This window comes from Homo sapiens, chromosome 3, assembly GCF_000001405.40.
Source record: "Homo sapiens chromosome 3, GRCh38.p14 Primary Assembly".
NCBI lineage: Eukaryota > Metazoa > Chordata > Mammalia > Primates > Hominidae > Homo > Homo sapiens.
The window spans coordinates 130038515-130058812 of NC_000003.12; the positions used below are offsets into that span (position 1 = coordinate 130038515).

General features: G+C 46.3%; 1 pseudogene, besides 2 other annotated features; it reads right to left on the reverse strand.

Annotated features, from left to right (window-relative positions):
- EVA1CP6 (EVA1C pseudogene 6) lies at positions 9629-17406 on the reverse strand (annotated as a pseudogene).
- Positions 18003-18998: an enhancer, noted in NCBI's record as "OCT4-NANOG-H3K27ac hESC enhancer chr3:129775360-129776355 (GRCh37/hg19 assembly coordinates)". NCBI's record gives its function as "activates a minimal SCP1, AML or CMV promoter by ChIP-STARR-seq in naive H9 embryonic stem cells {active_cell/tissue: H9 hESC(naive)}" and the evidence as "EXISTENCE:reporter gene assay evidence [ECO:0000049][PMID:30033119]".
- Positions 18999-19993: an enhancer, noted in NCBI's record as "OCT4-NANOG-H3K27ac-H3K4me1 hESC enhancer chr3:129776356-129777350 (GRCh37/hg19 assembly coordinates)". NCBI's record gives its function as "activates a minimal SCP1, AML or CMV promoter by ChIP-STARR-seq in naive H9 embryonic stem cells {active_cell/tissue: H9 hESC(naive)}" and the evidence as "EXISTENCE:reporter gene assay evidence [ECO:0000049][PMID:30033119]".

Sequence of the window (20298 nt, forward strand, 5' to 3'; positions counted from 1 at the left end):
CAGGGTGATAATAAGGAGAAGGTCAGCAACGAAGATGTGAGCAATAGAATCTATGTCATCATGAAGTTCACGGGAAGGTTCTATGACTGGACGTGTACATAAGCCAGATTTATGTTTCTCTCCACCCAAACATCTCAGTGGAGTAAAGAATAACAAGGCAGCATTGCTGCCAACATGTCTCACCTCCCACCATAGGTCGGTTTTTCCCCCATCTCAGAATTGAACAAATGTACAATCGGGTTTTATACCAAGACATTCAGTTCCCAGGGGCAGGCCGGAGACAGTGGCCTTCCTCTCTCTCAACTGCAAGAGGCTTTCCTCTTTGACTAATCCACCTCAGCACAGACCCTTTATGGGGGTCGGGCTCAGGGATGGTCAGTTCTTTCTCCTCCCACGAGGCCACTTTTCAGACTATCAAATGGGGAGAAACCTTGGACAATACGCCGCTTTCAAGGGAAGTGGTCCCTGCGGCTTTCCATAGTGTATTGTGCCCCTGGTTTATTGAGACTAGAGAATGGCGATGACTTTTACCAAGTATACTGCTTGGAAACATCTTAACAAGGCACATCCTGCACAGCCCTAGATCCCTTAAACCTTGATTTCATACAACACATGTTTTTGTGAGCTTCAGGTTGGGTCAAAGTGGCTGGGGCAAAGCTACACATTAACACCATCTCAGCAAAGCAATTGTTGAAAGTACAGGTCTTTCTCAAAATGGAGTCTCTTATGTCTTTCCTTTCTACAGAGACACAGTAACAGTCTGAGCACTCTTTCTTTTGCCTACACTCACTGAACTGCCCTTCCCCTCTGCTGAGCCATGACCATGGAGGACAGGTCCACTGTCCTCCCTGCGTGTTGCACGATGGATGCTCAGACTCCATCCTCAAGGCTGGCAAGAAGACAGGGTGAGACATGTGCCTCCTGATACAGGTGACGGCTGTGGAGCCCACAGGACTGGAACCTCACACTGAAGGGCTGGAGGCACAGACTGAGTATTTACTGTTCTGTGGCCTGGGGGGCTCAAGGCACAGAGCTCCTCATTAGCCAAAGTCACCCATGTTCCCCCAACCTCTGAGGATTTCCTCATCATCATGCAAGAAGAAGAAGAGAAAAGTGAGTGTCCATAGAAGCTTTGGGGCTCTTCCTCTAATCAGGAGAAAGCTGGTGTGTATTGTTCCCTTCTTTCTTTGCTTTTTAAAGATCCAACTGCTTTAATTTTCATCTTTTATTATGGGAAAATACACCATGTATAAATATTAAAAATTATAAATATATATTATTTCATATAGAATGGCCAGTATAAACCTTTACAGTTTCCACTCTTTTTCAGTTTACAGTTTAATGACATTAAGTACGTTCACACTGTTTAGCAACCATCACCGTCATCATCTCCAGAACAGTTTTATTTTTCAAAATGGAAATTGCAACCATTCGCCAAGCTCTCCACTCCTCTCTCTCGCCCACCCCTGGGGGCCACCTTTCTAGTTTGTAACTCTAGGAGTCTAACTACTCTAGACACTTGATAGATAAGTGGAATCATACCGTGTTCAATTTTTTTTTTTTTTTTTAGAGTCAGCGTCTTTCTCTGTCACCCAGTTTCGAGTGCAGTGGCATGAACTCGGCTCACTGCAACCTCCACATTGGGGGTTCAAGCTATTCTTATGTCTCAGTCTCCCGAGTAGCTGGGATTACAGGCGTGCGCTATCACACCCAGCTAATTTTTGTATTTTTAATAGAGACGAGCTTTCACCATATTGGCCAGGCTGGTCTCGAACTCCTGAGCTTAAGTGATCCGCCTGCCTCAGCCTCCCAAAATGCTGGGCTTACAGGTGCGAGCCACTGAGCTTTGGCATGTTTATCCTTTTGGGATTTATTTATTTCACTGACGATAATGTCTTCAAGGTTCATCCATGTTGCGGCCTGCGTCAGAAGTGCCTGTTTGTTTTTGTTGTTTTTTTTTTGGTTTGGTTTTATTTTGTTTTGTTTTGCGTTTTCATGTAGTCTCACTCTGTCGCACAGGCTGGAGTGTAGTGGCACAATCTGGGGTCACTGCAACCTCCGCCTCCCGGGTTCGAGCGATTCTTGCGCCTCAGCCTCCTGAGTAGCTGAGATTAGAGGTGCGTGCCACCACACCAGCTAATTTTTGTATTTTCAGTAGAGATGGGGTTTGCCATGTTGGCCAAGCTGGTCTTGAACTCGTGAGCTCAGGTGATCCACCCACCTCAACTTCCCAAAGTGTTAGGATTACAGCCGTGAGCCACTGTGCCCAGCCCAAGGATGTGTTTATTTTCTATAGACTTTTGATGATAATAATTTGACAGCAAATATATTGTGAGTATATATATATGTACATATACATACATATATACATATATACATATATACATATATATACATATATACATATATACATATATATACATATATACATATATATACATATATACATATATACATATATACACATACATATATACATATATACACATACATATACGTATATATACATATATACACATATATACATATATACATATATATACATATATATATAGAGAGAGAGAGAGAGCGTGTGAGAGAGAGAGTGAGAAAGAGAGAGAGTCTCCCTTTTTCACCCAGACTGGAGTGCAGTGGCACAATCATAGCGTGCTGCGGCCTTGAATTTCTGGGCTCAAACAATCCTCTCACCTCAGCCTCCTGAGTAGCCGGGACTACAGACATGTAGTACCATGCCTGGCTAACTTTTTATTATATTTTTTTGAAGAGATGAGGTCTGACTATTTTGCCCGGGCTGGTCTTAAACTCCTGGCTGAAAATGATCCTCCTGCCTTGACCTCCCCAAACGCTGGGACTACAGGTGTGAACCATTGAATCTGGTGTGAAGCTGGGATTGCAGGTGTGAGACGTGGCCTCTGGTGTGAATATCTCCTGGTAAATACCTTGTACTTTCACTTTCATTAAGATGTCTTTCGACCTCGTGAAATTATCTGAAAAACAGGGATGAAACACTGTTCTGCTCCATCTTCCCTGCAGGCACTTGGGCCCCATCCTGCTCTCTTGCCCCCCTCTTCTAGTGAATGGCCAGATAGGAACTATTGCAGGTTTATGGGCCATGTGGTCTCTGTTGCAAATATAACAGCTCTGCTGTTGTAGTGCAAAAGCAACCACAGACCATATGAAACCATCTTTCCTGCATGGCCTCTGTAATCTTTTAGAAATACCCATTGGGTCACACCACTGCCTGACTTAAAATGTATAGATGACCTCTTCCGTCTCCTAAGTAATGGCAGAAATTGACTGGGCATGGTGGCTCACACCTGTAATTCCAGCAGTTTGGGAGACCGAGGCAGGTGGATCACTTGAGGTCAGCAGTTTGAGATCAGCCTGGGCAACATGGTGAAACCCCATCTCTACTAAAATTACAAAAATTAAAATTAGCTGGGGGTGGTGGTGTGCGCCTGTAGTTCCTGCTACTTGGGAGGATGAGGCAGGAAAATGGCTTGAATGTGGGAGGCGGAGGTTGCAGTGATCCAAGATCACACCACTGTACTCCAACCTGGGTGACCGAGACAGGCTCTGATAAAAAAAAAAAAAAAGTAATGGCGGAAATCACAATTACTTTTGCACCAACCTAATAAAAGTCAAGTCCTGACCACAGCCTAGGAAGCCGGCTATGACCTGGCCCTTGTCACCCTCCCCAAGTTCAACTCCCGAGACCTTCCGTTTCCTCTCTGCTCCCCGCTCCGGCCTCCCATTCCTCACTCGTTTTGCATCAGATGCCTGCGCACCCTGGTGTTTCTGCATGTGCTCTTCTGTTAGCCTGGAAAGTTCTTTCCTCCCTCTTCATCCAGCACTACTAGATAACTCCCCCTGCCTTAGCCTAGCCAGGTCCCCTGTCATTTAGTCTCAGAGTATCTTGAATGTCTTCTTCACAGCCCAATTTACAATCCTGACTCACTCGCTGAGTGGGTGCCATCCTTTCTCTCCACCTAGAATGCAAGATCCCTGAGGGCAGGGGCTGGAACCGTCTTCTTCTTTGCCAAATCCCCATTGCCATCTCTGGCACAGAGTGGGCATTATGAAAATATTTGCTGAGTGCATAAAAGGAGGGAATCATGGATTTAAGCCCTCGACTTGGCGCCCTGGGGATGGGGCTCCATAAAATCAGTTCCCATTTTTTCTCTCTCCTCTTCTCCTGGGAGGTGGGTGTCTGGGTTCTCCTGCCAGGAGAGCTTCTCTCTCATAAGACTCCAGGTGTCTCTTGGCCTAGGCCTGCCTCCTGCTAAGTGAGACTCTTTAGGGCTAGTCTGCATCGACTCTGCTGAGATGCAGCTGCCAGAGATGGGCAACATGGGCAAAGCTTGGCAGGTCCCTGGGAACGAGGCTTCTGAGTCATCTGGATCAACTAGTTTGAAGTTACAAACTCACCAGATGTTGGTCAGCTGGAATCTTAATGATGAGCTGGTCCAACCCAACCCCTCTTGTTGTAGTCAAGTCGCTTGTGCAAAGCCACCACTTTGCTGGGACCCCAAGCTCAGGCCAGGGCTCTCTCCATGGTCCCAGGCTTTACACTAAGGGAATGTCAACTCTTCTCTAGAATCACTTGGACTACTTTATACTTTTGTATCTCCTTTTCCTATTCTGTATTCTGGAAAAACAGAGTTTGCCTTGTGATTCAACAGAATCTTCACACTGTGTTATTGCCGGCATTGTTTTAAATTTAGGCTTGGTTCATCCCCAGCTGGAGTGAATGACTTTAATTTGATCAGCTGCTGTATGCACTTGGGAGCTTCTGAAGGGGGTCCTATGGCCTTTAAAGGCTCCTTTCCAGTCTTAGATCCTGACTTGGGGCAAACACACACTCCAGCTCGTTCATGTCCAGATAAGACACCCAGAGGCCATGGCGAGGGTTCCCCCTGTCGGGGCCCTATTGCTGTTGAGAGGATCAAGGCAGCAGTCAGGGCCCGAGGGTTGTCCAGAAGAAAGCACAAACCATACCGAGCGCTGGTCTGACAGCACTTATTGGTGTGACAGGAACCTTCTGTCATGGAACCAGAGATTGGAGACCGTGGGAACACATCCAAATCCACATCTCCGTGACAAGGTGGTGCTGATTTCCAGTGGTCCTCCCTGGTGGGGGAATCACGTAGCTCTGACTCTGGAGCGTGTTGTTGTGTTTCTCTTTCAGTACGAGCTTGTCTGTGGCCCTGCAGTTCCTCCCTTATGAAAGAATGATGCTTCCCAACACAGGATATCCCAGGCTGCAAGCCTGTCGCTTTTGCCCAGCTTCCTTACCCCTGTGCCCCAAAAGCCCACAGCAGGGCCTGCCAGAGGCTGATGACATATCTGTCACTGTCCCAAGGGGGCAGGGGCAGCAACGGAAATATTAGGCCACAAAAGGCATGCCTGCAGACACATATGAGGTAAACACCCAAAGCCAGATGTCAATGAAACAGTAATTCGGTGGAATAGGAGAGGTCATATTCTCCTGCAAGGCTAAATACATAGGTCTCCTTGGGCACAATCTGCCAGGGGACAATGGTTCATGCCGAGCCAGCTATTACACTGCCTTGCTAAGAACTTCCAACACACACACACACACACATACACATGCACATATGCATGCACACACATGCATGCATACACACATGCACCCCCCCCACACATACAAGCACACATACAGATACACACACACGCACAAACATACAGATACACATACATACAGGCACACACACAGATACACACATACACACACAGATACACACATGCACACAAACACACGAAAGCACACACATGCACATACATACGAACACATGCACACACAGATACACATATGCACAGAGATACACATGCATGAACACACATGCAAACACACATGCACACTCATACATGCACACACACATGCACACATGTAGAGATACACATGCATGCACATACAGGCACACACATGCAAACATGCACACGCAGATACGCATGTACACACATGTACACACAAACACATGCACACACATACACATGCTCACACAAAAACACGTGCACACATGCACACACAGATGCACACAGACTCATGCAGACAGATACAGACACACATGCACACACAGATGCACACACATGCACACAGCCACATGCACACACTCACACGTATGCACACACATGCACATACACACATGCTTACAGACGCACATGCACACGTGCACATGCACACACATGCACACACGCACACGCACACGTGCACACGTGCACACACACGCACACACATGGACACACATGCACACATACACACACACCACTCCTTTTCCATTTCTCTAATTTCCAATTTTTTTCTATGAGCTTCCTCAGGCTCATGATCTTGATTCTAGAATGAATTCAGGGAGTAAGTCTGTATTATTGAAATGACACTAAATTCAATCATGCCTAAGAGGCTTTTTCAATGTTGGGGAAACCATCTCACAGATCATTCAAATGACCCCAGGAGACACTTCACCAGGAACACTTGTTCATCTCCCTCTCCCTTCTGCCAACCTCTGTGCTTTAATATCAGGGGACAAACCTCTCGATTTTGGTTTCTCATCTCTTTGTCCCCATGTACACTGGACTGCACTACTGTGTCAAAGCTACTTGCAGCCTGACCTGGGAAATGTACTTTTGGATTCACTCGATTTGCCACCTATTTGGGTGGTTTGGGCTGGAAACTGCCCTGCTCACACTCTTGGCTCCCAGCTGCTCCTGCTTTGGGGGTGCCTAGAGACCCCAGCTCAACCCATGGGTCACATCCCCACAGTGGGGCCGGGGATGCGACTGAGAGTTTTCTGGGCACCTCTCTCCAGCAGCATTGAGGATGGAGCTCAGCACTGTGTGACATTGGCTGGTGGCCACTGCCTGTTTAGGTCGAAATGGCCCAGCCTGATGTCCACATGCACCTCTGCGGCACACTGGCCTGCAGACCCCTGAGCATGCGCTGCATGCTTCTCACCTCTAGAGTGGCCACGCAGACAGGGATACCGACACACCAAGAAAATCCACAGGCAAGCCCAGAGGCCCCCGTTCTACTAGGGCTTTGTGAGCCCCTGTGATTTGAGTCACGAGCTTCTTGTGGTGATTTCATTTAGCTAACATCCAACACAGTGCATTTAGAGACTCTTTCTCTTGGACATTATATGGAGGCGTGGCCATGGTTTGCTGAGATAAATGCCCCAAAACACCCCTCAATAAAACCAAATAACAGCTCATCAACTCTTTACATTAAAAAAAAATTGACATCTTATAAATAGCAAATATTGGATGACAATAAGGCACAGGAAAAAGCTCATAAGCCCAGATCAGCAGTCATCATTCAATTGTTCCTTAACTACTGACTGCGCACCCGTTCTGTACCAGCACCGCATCCTAGATGCAGGGACACCACGCAAAATAAGATGACAAAGCACCTGCCCCTGTGGAGCTGAGCCACTAGCAGGAGAGACAGTCACTAAATGAATATCTCTATCCTGTGGTTTCTGGGAATGACAATCACATAAAAGGATAGAAAGGGATGGAGGAAAGCTAATTTAGACAACTCAGGATCAGAATGGGGAGGTGGTTGCATCCCTCAAAATTCAGAGTAGCTGGAGTGCAAGCCTTGTATTAGCTGAGCCTGAATCCTGGCCCTGCCGTTGTCCATGGTGTCCTCAGGCAAATGGCTCAACTCCTCTGACCACTGGCTTCAAGTGCAGAACAGGGGACCAGAGTCCCATCTCTCAGGGTTGTTGCTGTGGACTGAATTGTGTTCCCCCCAATTCACTCATTAGGAGCTAATTAACGTTAAAGGAGGTCATAAGAGTGGAATCCTAATCTGATAGGATTGATGGTTTTATAAAAAGAAGAGATGTCTCTGTCTCTGTCTCTCCCCCTCACTACTATGTGAGGACAAGCAAGAAGGCTGCTGTCTACAAGGCAGGAAGACAGCCCTTACCAGAAAGGGATTGGTGGATACTTTGATCATGAACTTCTAGCCTCCAGAACAGTGAGAAAACCAATGTCTGTTATTTAGGCCATCCGGTCTCGGGTACTTTATTATGGCAGCTGGGCTGGCTGAGGCAGTTGTTGAGAGGAACTGACAAGGTAGTTGGGGTAAAGCACACAGCATGGCCACAGCTCACTGAGCACAATGTCAGACTCATTCCCCTTCAATTGTTATTCTCTGTCTGGAGGATTTTCATGTTGGCTTTTCTCCAAGAAGCTCCCTGGGGTCTTTGTAAATATGGGGATATTTCTGACAAGAAAAATCCTTACGGTTCTTAACATTGACAATGATCAGGAACAGCAAGTCATGAAAATGAGAAGGTGGCTAGAAAAGAGAGGACCCACAGAAGAAACCAGCAACCACACAACACACACACACAGGAGGAATCCTAACGCAGGAGGAAAATAGAACATCAGGGGACCCCAAGACAGAACTCTGCATCTCATGTATTGAGATTATTCCCTGATATGGTTTGGCTGTGTCCCCACCCAAATCTCATCTGGAATTGTAGCTCCCCTAATCCGCATGTGTCATAGGAGGGACGTGGTGGGAGGTAATTGAATCATTGGGTGGGTCTTTCCCATGCTGTTCTCATGATAGTGAATAAGTCTCACAAGATCTGATGGTTTTATAAAGGGGAGTTCCCCTGCACAAGCTCTCTTGCCTGCTACCAAGTAAGACGTGACTTTGCTCCTCATTCACCTTCCACCGAGATTGTGAGGCCTCCTTAACCATGTGGAACTGTGAGTCTATTAAACCTCTTTCCTTTATAAATTACCCAGCCTCAGGCATGTCTTTATTAGTAGCATGAGAACAGACAAATACATTCCCTAAGCCTCTATTTTCCTCTGAGACAGGCTTACCCCGAATAGCCCTATCTTTGCAGGCCTTGAATAGTAATACTGTTATGTGTTACATTAACATGTATTTTACTGAAAGTCTCTGGTTTTTGTCTCTCTGAACATAGGCAGGCTTTGCTGAAACTTGCAGATGACATTCCAAAATTCATTCTATCTTAAGATAAGCAGAGAGGGGGGTGAGGAAAAATTGTACATACCTTCCCCTCAATGAAGAGGTCCCCGTGGTGTGGCCAGCCTTGGTATAAGGCTTTTGGCTCTGTTAATTCATGAGGGCTGAGTTTGATTGATCCTCATGGGGAAGACTAACAAGGGAATCCTTGGCAACCATTAGGAATAACACTCATGACCCAGAAAGTGGTTCTGTCTTCATGAGGCATCATCTGTCTTGTTTACTAAGTGACCTTCTGGCTCATTTTTCTTCCAGCCAGGGCTGGAATTCAATAATTCTAGTTCCTTCCCAAATTTTAGAGCTGGGAAATGCATTCCTCGGGTTTCTACTTTTCAAAAGCAAACAATATCTGTGGAGCTCAACTCCTAAATAGTGTGACTTTGTCTGTTTATGTGGTTCTCTTGCTGACTGCCTGGTTGCGACTGTGCCTGAACTCAGGCCTCTGTGTTTCTGAATCTTAGAAGCAGTGGTTGGCATGTCAAACTTGAAGTCATTGTCCTTTAGTTCTCTGAGTGTTATAATTGAACAGCACATTTATGAACAAGACTTTAGTAAATCCATCAGCATTCTAGGAAGCTTTGATTCATTAACCTATCTCTAATGTAAGCAAAGGCTGCCAGAGAGTCGCTAACAAGAATTCCATCTTTCTCAGAACCTTCGATTCGCTTGGGTCGAAGTTCATGCCTGTTTCATGAAAAATGCAAAACCAATTAATCACAGCTGTTCATAGTATGCCTATTCTAAGAGACCTCTGCTGTTCCTACCCGAGGGACAGCCAGAATAATTAAAGTCACAGAAATCAAACAAATGGGCCTCTGGCTAAATTATAGAAGATTAACCCAGGAAGAGCACTTATTAAATAGTAAGGAGTCCCCGAAAATATTCAAGTACAAAAAGGATTAGAAATTGTTTTAAGTGTTGGTTCCAACTTCAGGTGCTGGTCTTCCACTCCACTGCGGAAGGGAACAAATGAATTTTCCCATCCTAAAGACAGTGACATTCATCACACCCCTTGGAAGCTTAATAACATCTCGCTTTATTTTAATTGTTTATTTATTTATTTATTTACTTTTGAGATGAAGTTTCACTCTTGTTACCCAGGCTGGAGTGCAATGGCACGATCTCAGCTCACTGCAACCTCTATCTCCTGGGTTCAAGCGATTGTCCTGCCTCAGCCTCCTGAGTAGCTGGGATTACAGGCACATGCCACCATGACCAGCAAATTTTTGTATTTTTATTAGAGATGGGGCTTCCCCACGTTGGCCAGGTTTGTCTCGAACTCCTGACCTCAGGCAATCTGCCTGCCTCGGCCTCCCAAAGTAATGTGATAATGCCTGTTATCATGCTGGGATAACAGGCTTGAGCCACCACCCCCGGCCAATAATATCTCATGTTAAGCATGGAGTTGCTGTCCGCTCTGTGGCCAGAGATAAAACAAGCCTCCATTACAGAGGGAGGTGGTATTGGGCTACTTTTTTGGAAACAACAGCAAAACGTGAGGCAAATTTGCTTTTAGATCCTGGTTACACTCCTGGATGGAGCTTAGCAAGCCTATGATAGGGTAGCCTGGTGGTGGCTTAGGGGAATCCTAGCCATGTCAGACAGGACAGATGCCTTTGAGGAGAGATGGCACAGTGCTGGCTCTCAGGCCCCCACTGCAGGGGGACCAGGCTGTTTATGGATTGGGTGGGAACCCTGTTAGAAAAATAAGTGGAGGCTGGGTGTGGTGGCCTATGCCTGTAATCCCAGCACCTTTGAAGGATGAAGTGGGTGGATTGCTTTAGCCCAGGAGTTCGAGACCAGCCAGGGCAACTTGGCAAAGCCCTGTCTTTAGAAAAATAATAATAATAGTTAATTAATTAGTTGATTTTTTTTTTAAAAAAAGAAAGAGAAGTGGAGCTAAGGAACACAGAGCCTGCCAGAAAGCCAAGGTGGCCAGCTAGAAGGACACAGAAGAACATTACCATAGTTCTCTCTGAGCTTTTGGACTAGGGGTGTTTCATGTGGTTTTCATATCAAACATACTTTACTTTTATACTTAGGGAGGAAAGACATAATACATACAATAAAGGTAACACGAAACAAAACTCTCACCAAAGCCTCACATCTTAGATGCTCTACTGGGTCTCTGCAATTTCTATTAGGGACCCTATGGGTTTGAATTCCATTCTAGATTTGATAAGAAAATCCAAATGCTCAACCCCCTCAACCCCCCCCACCCCTCCACCCCATTTACAAAAGCCAAGTGAAAACTAAGGAGGGGCTGGGTGCAGTGGTTCACACCTGTAATCCCAGCACTTTGGGAGTCTGAGGTGAGGGGAACACCTGAGGTCAGGAGTTCAAGAGCAGCCTGACTAACATGGTAAAATCCCATCTCTACTAAAAGTACAAAAATTAGCAAGGTGTGGTGGTGGACACCTATAATCCCAGCTACCTAGGAGGCTGAGGCAGGAGAATCACTTGAACCCGGAGGCAGAGGTTGCAGTGAGTGGAGATTGTGCCACTGCACTCCAGCCTGGGTGAGAAAAAGCAAAACACCAAAGAAGAAGAAGAAAGAAAGGAAGAAAGAAAGAGAGAGAGAGAGAGGGAGAGAGGGAGGGTGGGAGGGAAAGAAAGAAAGAGAGAGAAAGAGAAAAAGAAAGAAAGAAAGAGAGAGAGAGGGAGAGACGGAGGGAGGGAGGGAAAGAAAGAGAGACAGAAAAAAAGAAAGAGAGACAGAGGGAGAGAAAGAAAGAAAGAAGAAGGAGAAGAAGGAAGGAAGGAAGAAAACAGGGAGAGAGAGAAAGAGAGAGAGAGGGAGGGAGGGAGGGAGGAAGGGAGGGAGGAAGGAAACTAAGGAGGAAGGTGGCGTGTACAGAGGTACGGAGGCCCTCAGGTCCTAGCTGGCCCTGGGTGACAAGGGTGAAACTCCGAAGCAAGAGAAAGGAAGGAAGGAAGGAAGGAAAGAAGGAAGGAAGGAAACTAAGGAGGAAGGTGGCGTGTACAGAGGTACGGAGGTCCTCAGGTGCTAGCCGGTACTGGTGCCTACACAGGATCCAATGGGCTGAGCTTTGCAAAAAGCTCATTGTGTAACCCAGGAAGCCCAAATTTACTTCTGAGCAGATGTCTTTTCAAAGTGATTTTCCTTTTAGGAAGTGAGAGGAGAATGAAGGGGAGGTTTATCCTACTTCTGATGTTAAAAAAGTCAAAACAAAATAAATTGGTGTTCATTGCAACTATTGGCTAAAGCACTATCATCACCAGGACCGGTACCTCAAACACACCTCCTGACAGCCTCTTCCATTCTAATCAATGTGTGCCCAACTGTGGTCACCCAGGGGCTGTTTACCTTTACTTAAAGAGAAATGCTGGTAGTAAGCCATAAAAATTACCATATTCACCATCTTTCTGCTTCAAAGAAGGTTTTAGATTAGGAATGGCTGGATCAATCACTATGAGCATGTTCTTGGGAACTAAAAGCCAAAAAGAAATATTTTAAATACGTGGTATATTTTTAAAATGTGGACTCTTAATAGATTTTTAAATGCAATGTAGATAAGATTTTAAAATCACTTTCCAAATCGGTGCAAGAGTCACTCCCTCTCCCTGTTAGATACACACACATACACACAACCCAATGCTATCCACGTGATCATCAAATCCTCCAGAGACATGGTTTTAGGCCCATTTTGCAATATTTAAAAAATGGAGAATAAAAACAAGATATGATATATCCATCCAGCAGAATTCACCTCAGTAATAAAAAGGAATGAAGGCTCGGCATGATGGCTTACACCTGTAATCCCAGCACTTTGGGAGGTCGAGGTGGACAGATTACTTGAGGTCAGGAGTTCGAGACCAGCCTGGCCAACATATTTGAAACCCCGTCTGTACTAAAAATACAAAGTTAGCTGGGCCTGGTGGCACACGGCTGTAATCCCAGCTACTTGGGAGGCTGAGGCAGGGAGAATTGCTTGAACCCGGGAGGCAGAGGTTGCAGTGAGCGAACATCGCACCACTGCATTCCAGCCTGGGTGACAGCGTGAGACTTCAACTCTAAAAAAAAAAAATGAAGTACTGATATGATACATGCTACAACGTGGATGAACCTCTGAAACATTACATTCAGTTAAAGAAGTCAGCCATGCACACACACACAAAACCATCCATTGCATAATTCCATTTGTATGAAATATTCAGAAAAGGCAAATCTAGAGAGAAAGTAGATGTGTGGTTACCTGGGACCGGGGGGTTAGGAATGGGGCAGTTATGGCAAATGGGCATAAGAGAGCTTCGGGGGATTGTGAAAATGTTTTAAAACTGGAGGGTAGTGATGGTTGCACAACTCTAAATTTACTAAAAATCATTGAATTGTATTCACGTGTAATAGAATTTTAAGCAAAATAAACAACACCTCAATAGAGTGGTTAACTCTGGGCTGGGCATGGTGGCTCATGCCTGTAATCCTGGCACTTTGGGAGTCTGAGGCAGGTGGATCATTTGAGTCAGGAGTTCAAGACCAGCCTGGCCAACATGGTGAAACCCCGTCTCTACTAAAAAATACAAAAATTAGCCGGATGTGCTCACTTGAACCCAGGAAGTGGAGGTTGCAGTGAGCTGAGAGTGTGCCACTGCACTCCAGCCTGGGTGACAGAGCAAGACTCCATCTCAAAAAAAAAAAAAAAAATATATATATATATATATATATATATACACACACACACAGTGGTTAACTCTGAAGATGAGCTTCCCTGGACTTAGTAAAGCAAAATGACTGTGACCAACTCAAAATCCACCATTAAACTCTCCCAGCACCTGCTATTCTGCTTTCTACCCCAAGCTCTTTGCCTCTGTGTTTCCATCGTAAATCTGGAAAGAATTCGAAGACTCTGTGCTAAAGTGATTTGCTAAATATTATCAGAAAGGACTACAGAAAGATGCAGAGAGGATGGCAGCATGACCGACTCCTTTGAAGGTGGTTTAAGACTCTGCTGAACTGATGCTAAGAATAAGCCCTGGGATGTCAGAACCCCCAGGCAAAGCAGCTGGCAGATGACAACACTCGCTGAAACAGAGGGCAGAGCAGGAATTCTGCAGGCCAAGCACACTGCCGCAGGCTGGAAGAAGGGAGTGGAAACTGAATATTCCTCCTGCATAAAATTGCTTATTTTTGTTTGTTCCTCAGCCCAGCTGAGATCTTGGAGAAGTAGCAACAGGAAATGGAAAGAAAGCAAAAACAAACTGCAAATTCAATTGCACTGCTTTTTTAAAAAAGAACAAGTGAGACATCTTCAGCAGCAAGAAAACCTTGTTTCCTTTCTTGGAGGGCTTAACTAAATTCTTCTGGGGATGTCCCAGGATCAACAACCACAGGACATTCCTAGATTGTGAGTTTTCCATGTACAGGAGGCCCTGGTGCCTTCGTGCCCATCAGCAGCAAGGGAGACTTCCCAGGGAGGCCCGGTGAAGTTGCTGGAGGTGGCTGATGATTTCCAGGGCCTCGAGGAATGTCCCTTGGCTGTCCTCAGGGCACACCACTGATCCTGGGACCATGGCAGCTTCGGAGAGCTGAGCTGAGCTGCTGCAAAATGCTTTCTGCTTTAATTACCTCTCATTCATTTCTGAGCCCTGAGAAGGATGCAGTAGCCCGGGAAGTGTCAGCTCTCCCTGCCAGGGGTGGGACTTCTTTGTCATGTCTGCCTCTTGGCTTGTTCTCAAACTGTGGCTTCAGGAGGGCCTTGGCTCTTGGCAAATGCCAGAGGCTTTATAGTTTGAGAAAGAATCAGAATTTTGAAGAGGAGCTCAGAGAGGAAGGTCATTCTAGGGTGCACTTTGCAGAGTAACCAGGCAGTAAAAAGGTTAAATTGGCTGTGTATGACACAGGCCACTGCAGGGAATGTGCCCCTCTACTAAGTGAAATTGGCTCTGATATCCAGAGAATCTTTTAGGACCTTTAAAATCACCATTGTCAACACACTTGTCAGATTTTTGCATCTCCTTGTTTCAAACTGTTTTAGAATGAGGTCGGGGACTGGGGTGTGATTGATCACCATCCTGCTCCACTTCAGATATGTTGGCAAAAACACTAGGAACCACTCTTCATGGAGCTCCTACTGTGTGCAGGACCCTGTTCTCAACAGTTTAAACCAGGGCCATCTTCCTCCTCATCAACACCTTTCCTCTCCCACTCAGCAGCCTCAGTGTGTCAGCCCCTAGTGTGCAGCTAGTGTGCATACGCTAGTGTTCACCCTACAGGATGCTTCTCTTTGGAAGACTTAAACCACCAACCCAAGCTAAATTAGGCCCCCTCCACTGCTATAGTCTTCTTCCCTTTTCTAAAATAGCATTTGTCACAATAGGGCATGATGATGTGTCTGGCTATTTGGTTAATGCTTGCCTTTCTCCCTCCACTGTTCACCCCATGAAAACAGGACCGTGTCTTTTTTTTTTTTTTTTTTTTTTTTTTGAGACAGAGTTTCACCCCTCTCACCCAAGCTGAGTGCAGTGGTGAGATCTCAGCTCACTGCCAACTCCACCTACCAGGTTCAAGTGATTCTCCTTGTCACAGCCTCCCAAGTAGCTGGGATTACAGGCATACGTCACCATGCCCAAATAATTTTGTACTTTTAGTAGAGATGGGGTTTCACCTTGTTAGCCAGGATGGTCTCGATCTCCTGACCTCGTGATCCGCCCGCCTCGGCCTCCCAAAGTGCTGGGATTACAGGCTTGAACCACAACGCCCAGCATTAGTTTAGTTTTTCAGAGACAGGGTTTCACTCTATTACCCAGGCTGGAGTGCAGTGGTGCAATCATAGCTCACTGCAGCCTTGAACTCTTGGGCTCAAACCTAGGCTCAAGGGATCCTCTCGCCTCAGCTTCTCAAGTACCTGGGAATATATGAATGTACACCATGCCCAGCTTACATTTATTTGTTTAAAAGACAAGAAAGAGGCCAGGCACAGTGGCTCACACCCGTAATCCCAGCATTTTGGGAGTGAGGCTGAGGCAGGAGGATTGCCTGAGCCCAGAATTTGGAGACCAGTCTGGGAAACACAGCAAGGCCTCATCTCTAATTTAAAAAAAAAAAAAAAACAAGAAAGATGATATGATACCAAATCAAATCATTTCCTTTACTAGGAAAAGGGCAAAAACAAGGGACGGTGTCAGTTAAGAATCCCTCCTTAGAGAAGCATGAAAAGTCTGCCCCAAATCTGGTAAATCCAGGAACAACTGACTGTCAAGCTGATGGTGCATTCTAGGTTAGGATGTTTTGGACCAGGTTGTACTTTGTTCCCAAAGAATTCAAGGAAAATTTGTTTAATCTGCTTAACATAGTAAAATCTTTCTTTGCAATGTCATACAAAGTTGGCATTACATATGCACTGTTGAAGAAAACGTAATTTTTTTTAAAGAATGTTCTCCAAAACCATTTAATTAGTAAAAATGTTTAATAATGATTTGAATTTTTTTTTTTTTTTGAGACAGAGTCTCGCTCTGTTGCCCAGGCTGGAGTGCCGTGGCCTGACCTCTGCTTACTGCAAGCTCCACCTCCCGGGTTCATGCCATTCTCTTGCCTCAGCCTCTGGAGTAGCTGGGACTACAGGTGCCCACCACAACACCTGGCTAATTTTTTGTATTTTTAGTAGAGACAGGGTTTCACCGTGTGAGCCAGGATGGTCTCAATCTCCTGACCTCGTGATCCACCTGCCTTGGCCTCCCAAAGTGCTGGGATTACAGGCATGAGCCACCACGCCTGGCCCTTTGAGTACATTTTCTAAGAAGTTGGTCATGAGTTCAGACGTCTGCCTCAAAGAGATACTTGTGGTTTCCATTAAAGAACCCACTTTCCCTTTCTACAGGAGTATTTATGGGAGATATGGGCCTGGAGGTTGGAATCTATCCTGGTTGTACTTTGCTATACTGAAGTAAGGAGTAAACCTACAAATACATTCATATTGAAGTGTACAAAGGGGGCTCTACAATAGGTAGGAATTCTATTTAGTTTTGTTGGGTAACAAATCCTTTGAGAAGCAAATAACAGCTCACCTACAAAACTGGTGATCTGTATAAGTTGGGATTTTTCATGGATCAGTTTTGCTTGGATTGAACTATATAATCACAAATATATTTATACCTAGAGAGAGAGAAAGAGTGTCTGTTGAAACTGTATCATCTTAACGTGTCTATAAAAGGCAATACCTGGAAGGTGGTGGATGCCACACAGGTTAAGCTGTCTTCCCTCTGGGAGGCAGGCTTCTGGGAACTACACATTTGGTAATCTTGCCCATAAAATGCCAATTGAACACTTATTGTAGAATGCCGAGGGCACTGTAGATTCAGATAGTCCCCATCACAGGCATAGATGGTGTGTTTTTGCAGGAGTTTGGTTAGGTAACCTAGAAAATATTCAGTCGGGTTACAAAAGGCCCAGGAACCCACCAATCCTCCTTGGGTTTGGGGACAGGAGGATGTTGGTTCCCCTGGGGAAGGACTGTTGAGTTAACAACATGTGGGGTAGGGCCTCCCTAGCAGCTCTGGTGCAGAGGTCACAAAACCAGGCCCAGAGGTGAGACACAGGAGCCAATGTCAGCTTTAATTTTGATATGGAAGGGGGGCAGGGGAGTGCTGGGTAGAGAAGGGTGGGGACCCTCGCGAGGGCTCTGCCCTCGGGCTTGTGCCCTTGGACCTTAGTGAGAACAGGCACTCCTGTTTTCATGTCCAAATGTTGCATTTTCCAAGACTACTCTGGCCTGCTATGACCCCCATCCTGTGCCCATAAAAAACCCAAGACCCTAGTGGGCACAGACAAAAGTGGCTGGACATCAAGAGGAGCAGAGAAGCAGAAGAGGACACCGACAGACATCAGCAGATGCTGGCAGGCTTTTGACAGTGGGGAGATGTGGAATTCAGTTGGGGGTGGTTGGTGGAGAGTCGGGCTGCTAGACTCTAGGGGAAGACCACCTTCCCACTCCATCCCCCTTCTGGCTCCCCATCCATCTGAGAGCCACCTCCTCCACTCAATAAAATCTTGCATTCATTCTCCAAGTCCACGTGTGATCTGATTTTTCAAGTACACTAGGGCAAGAACCTGGGATACAGAAAGCCCTCTGTCTTTGTGATAAGGCAGAGGGCCTAATTGAGCTGATTAACACAAGCCACCTGCAGATGGCAAAACTGAAGGAGACCACTGTAACACATGCCCACTGGGGCTTCGGGAGCTGTAAACACCCAATTCCACAAGCTGCTGTGGGGCCAGAGCCCAGAAACGCTCCCAACGACCTGCCCGTCTGCACGCTCCCTCTAGGGGTTTGAGCAGCAGGATACTGAGAAGTGAGCCATGCCCCAGTAGCATGCCCTGCAAGGGGGATAAGGGTACTCCTCCTGTTTCAATGTATGGGTCAGAAACCTTGGTCTGGGATGGCCTACTGAATGGTTTGGAGGGCTCTTTCCCCTTCAGGAAGCACTAAGGTATTGGCCAGGAACCAAGAAGTCCTGAGCACCTTTATAAACCGGGAAAAAAAAATTGGGGTGAGTATCCCCTGGATGTGTGGATGCCCATCCTGAGGGAGGCTTTCATTTGCTCATCTCCCACTAGTGAGGCCATGCCTTATTGGGATGAGAGGATGCAGTTTCATTTCAAGAAATCACTCTTGGCTCTGTGTTGGTGCTGGAGAGGAAAGACAGGCAGGGTGCCCTGTGCAGAGAGGTGATGGTGGGGCTCTGCTGTGGGTTGAATGGTGTCCTCTCAAATTCATGTTTATCAATGTGGGGAAAAGAAAGAGAGATCAGATTGTTACTGTGTCTGTGTAGAAAGTAGAAATAAGAGACTCCATTTTGTTAGGTACTAAGAAAAATTCTTCTGTCTTGAGATGCTGTTAATCTGTAACCCTACCCCCAACCCTGTGCTCTCTGAGACATGTGCTGTGTCAACTCAGGGTTAAATGGATTAAGGGCTGTGCAGGGTGTGCTTTGTTAAACAAATGCTTGAAGGCAGCATGCTTGTTAAGAGTCATCACCACTCCCTAATCTCAAGTACCCAGAGACACAAAACACTGCTGAAGGCCACAGGGACCTCTGCCTGGGAAAGCCAGGTATTGTCCAAGGTTTCTCCCCATGTGATAGCCTGATATATGGCCTCCTGGGAAGGGAAAGACCTGACTGTCCCCCAGCCCGACACCCCGTAAAGCATCTTTGCTGAGGAGGATTAGTGAAAGAGGAAGGCCTCTTTGCAGTTGAGATAAGAGGAAGGCATCTGTCGCCTGCTTCTCCCTGGGCAATGGAACGTCTTGGTGTCAAGCCCGATTGTATATTCCTTCTACTGAGATAAGGGAAAACCACCTTAGGGCTGGAGGTGGGACATGCTGGCAGCAATACTGCTCTTTAATGGATTAAGATGTTTATGTGTATGCACATCAAAAGCACAGCACTTAATTCTTTACCTTGTTTAAGATGCAGAGAGCTTTGTTGACGTGTTTTCCTACTGACCTTCTCTCCGCTATTACCCTATTGTCCTGCCAAATCCCCCTCTCCGGGAAACGCCTGATAATTGTCAATAAATACTAAGGGAACTCAGAGGCCGGTGGCAGCCTGACCGGCATGGGTCCTCCATATGCTGAACGCCGGTCCCCTGGGCCCTATTTTCTTTCTCTATACCTTGTCTCTGTGTCTCTTTCTTTTCCAGGTCTCTCATTCCACCTAACGAGAAACGCCCACAGGTGTGGAGGGGCAACCCACCCCTTCAATCAGGAACCTCAGAATGTGACATTTGGAAATTGGGAGGTTGCAGATGTAACGAATTAACTTGGCGACATACTGGAGTAAGGTGGGCCCTTCACACCCTATGACTGGTATCCTTATAAGAAGAAAAGAAGAGACTCAGAGGGAAGACAGCTGTGTGCAGCTGGAATGATGCATCTGAAGCCAAGGAATGCCGTGCATTGCCGGCCACCATCCAAAACTAGAAAAAGTCAGGAAGGATTCTTCCCTAGAACCTTCAAAGGCAGTACAGCCCTGCCAACACCTGCATTCAGCCTCTGGCCTCCAGAACTGTGAGAGGATGAATTTCTGTTGTTTTCAGCCACCCAAGCTTAGGAAATGGGTTGCAGCAGACTGGGAATAAGACAGGCAGCCAGTCAGCCTCCGTGGAATTCCCAGGCAGCTTGCAGGAGCCAGAGTGGGCCCTGGGCTCTGAGAAGGTCTGAGGCCCAGCAGGCGCAGGGGCCTAAACTATTTCTCGGCAAGGAGGAAGGAAGGTTCATCCAGAACGTAGATCCCCTTCCTCCTTCTGA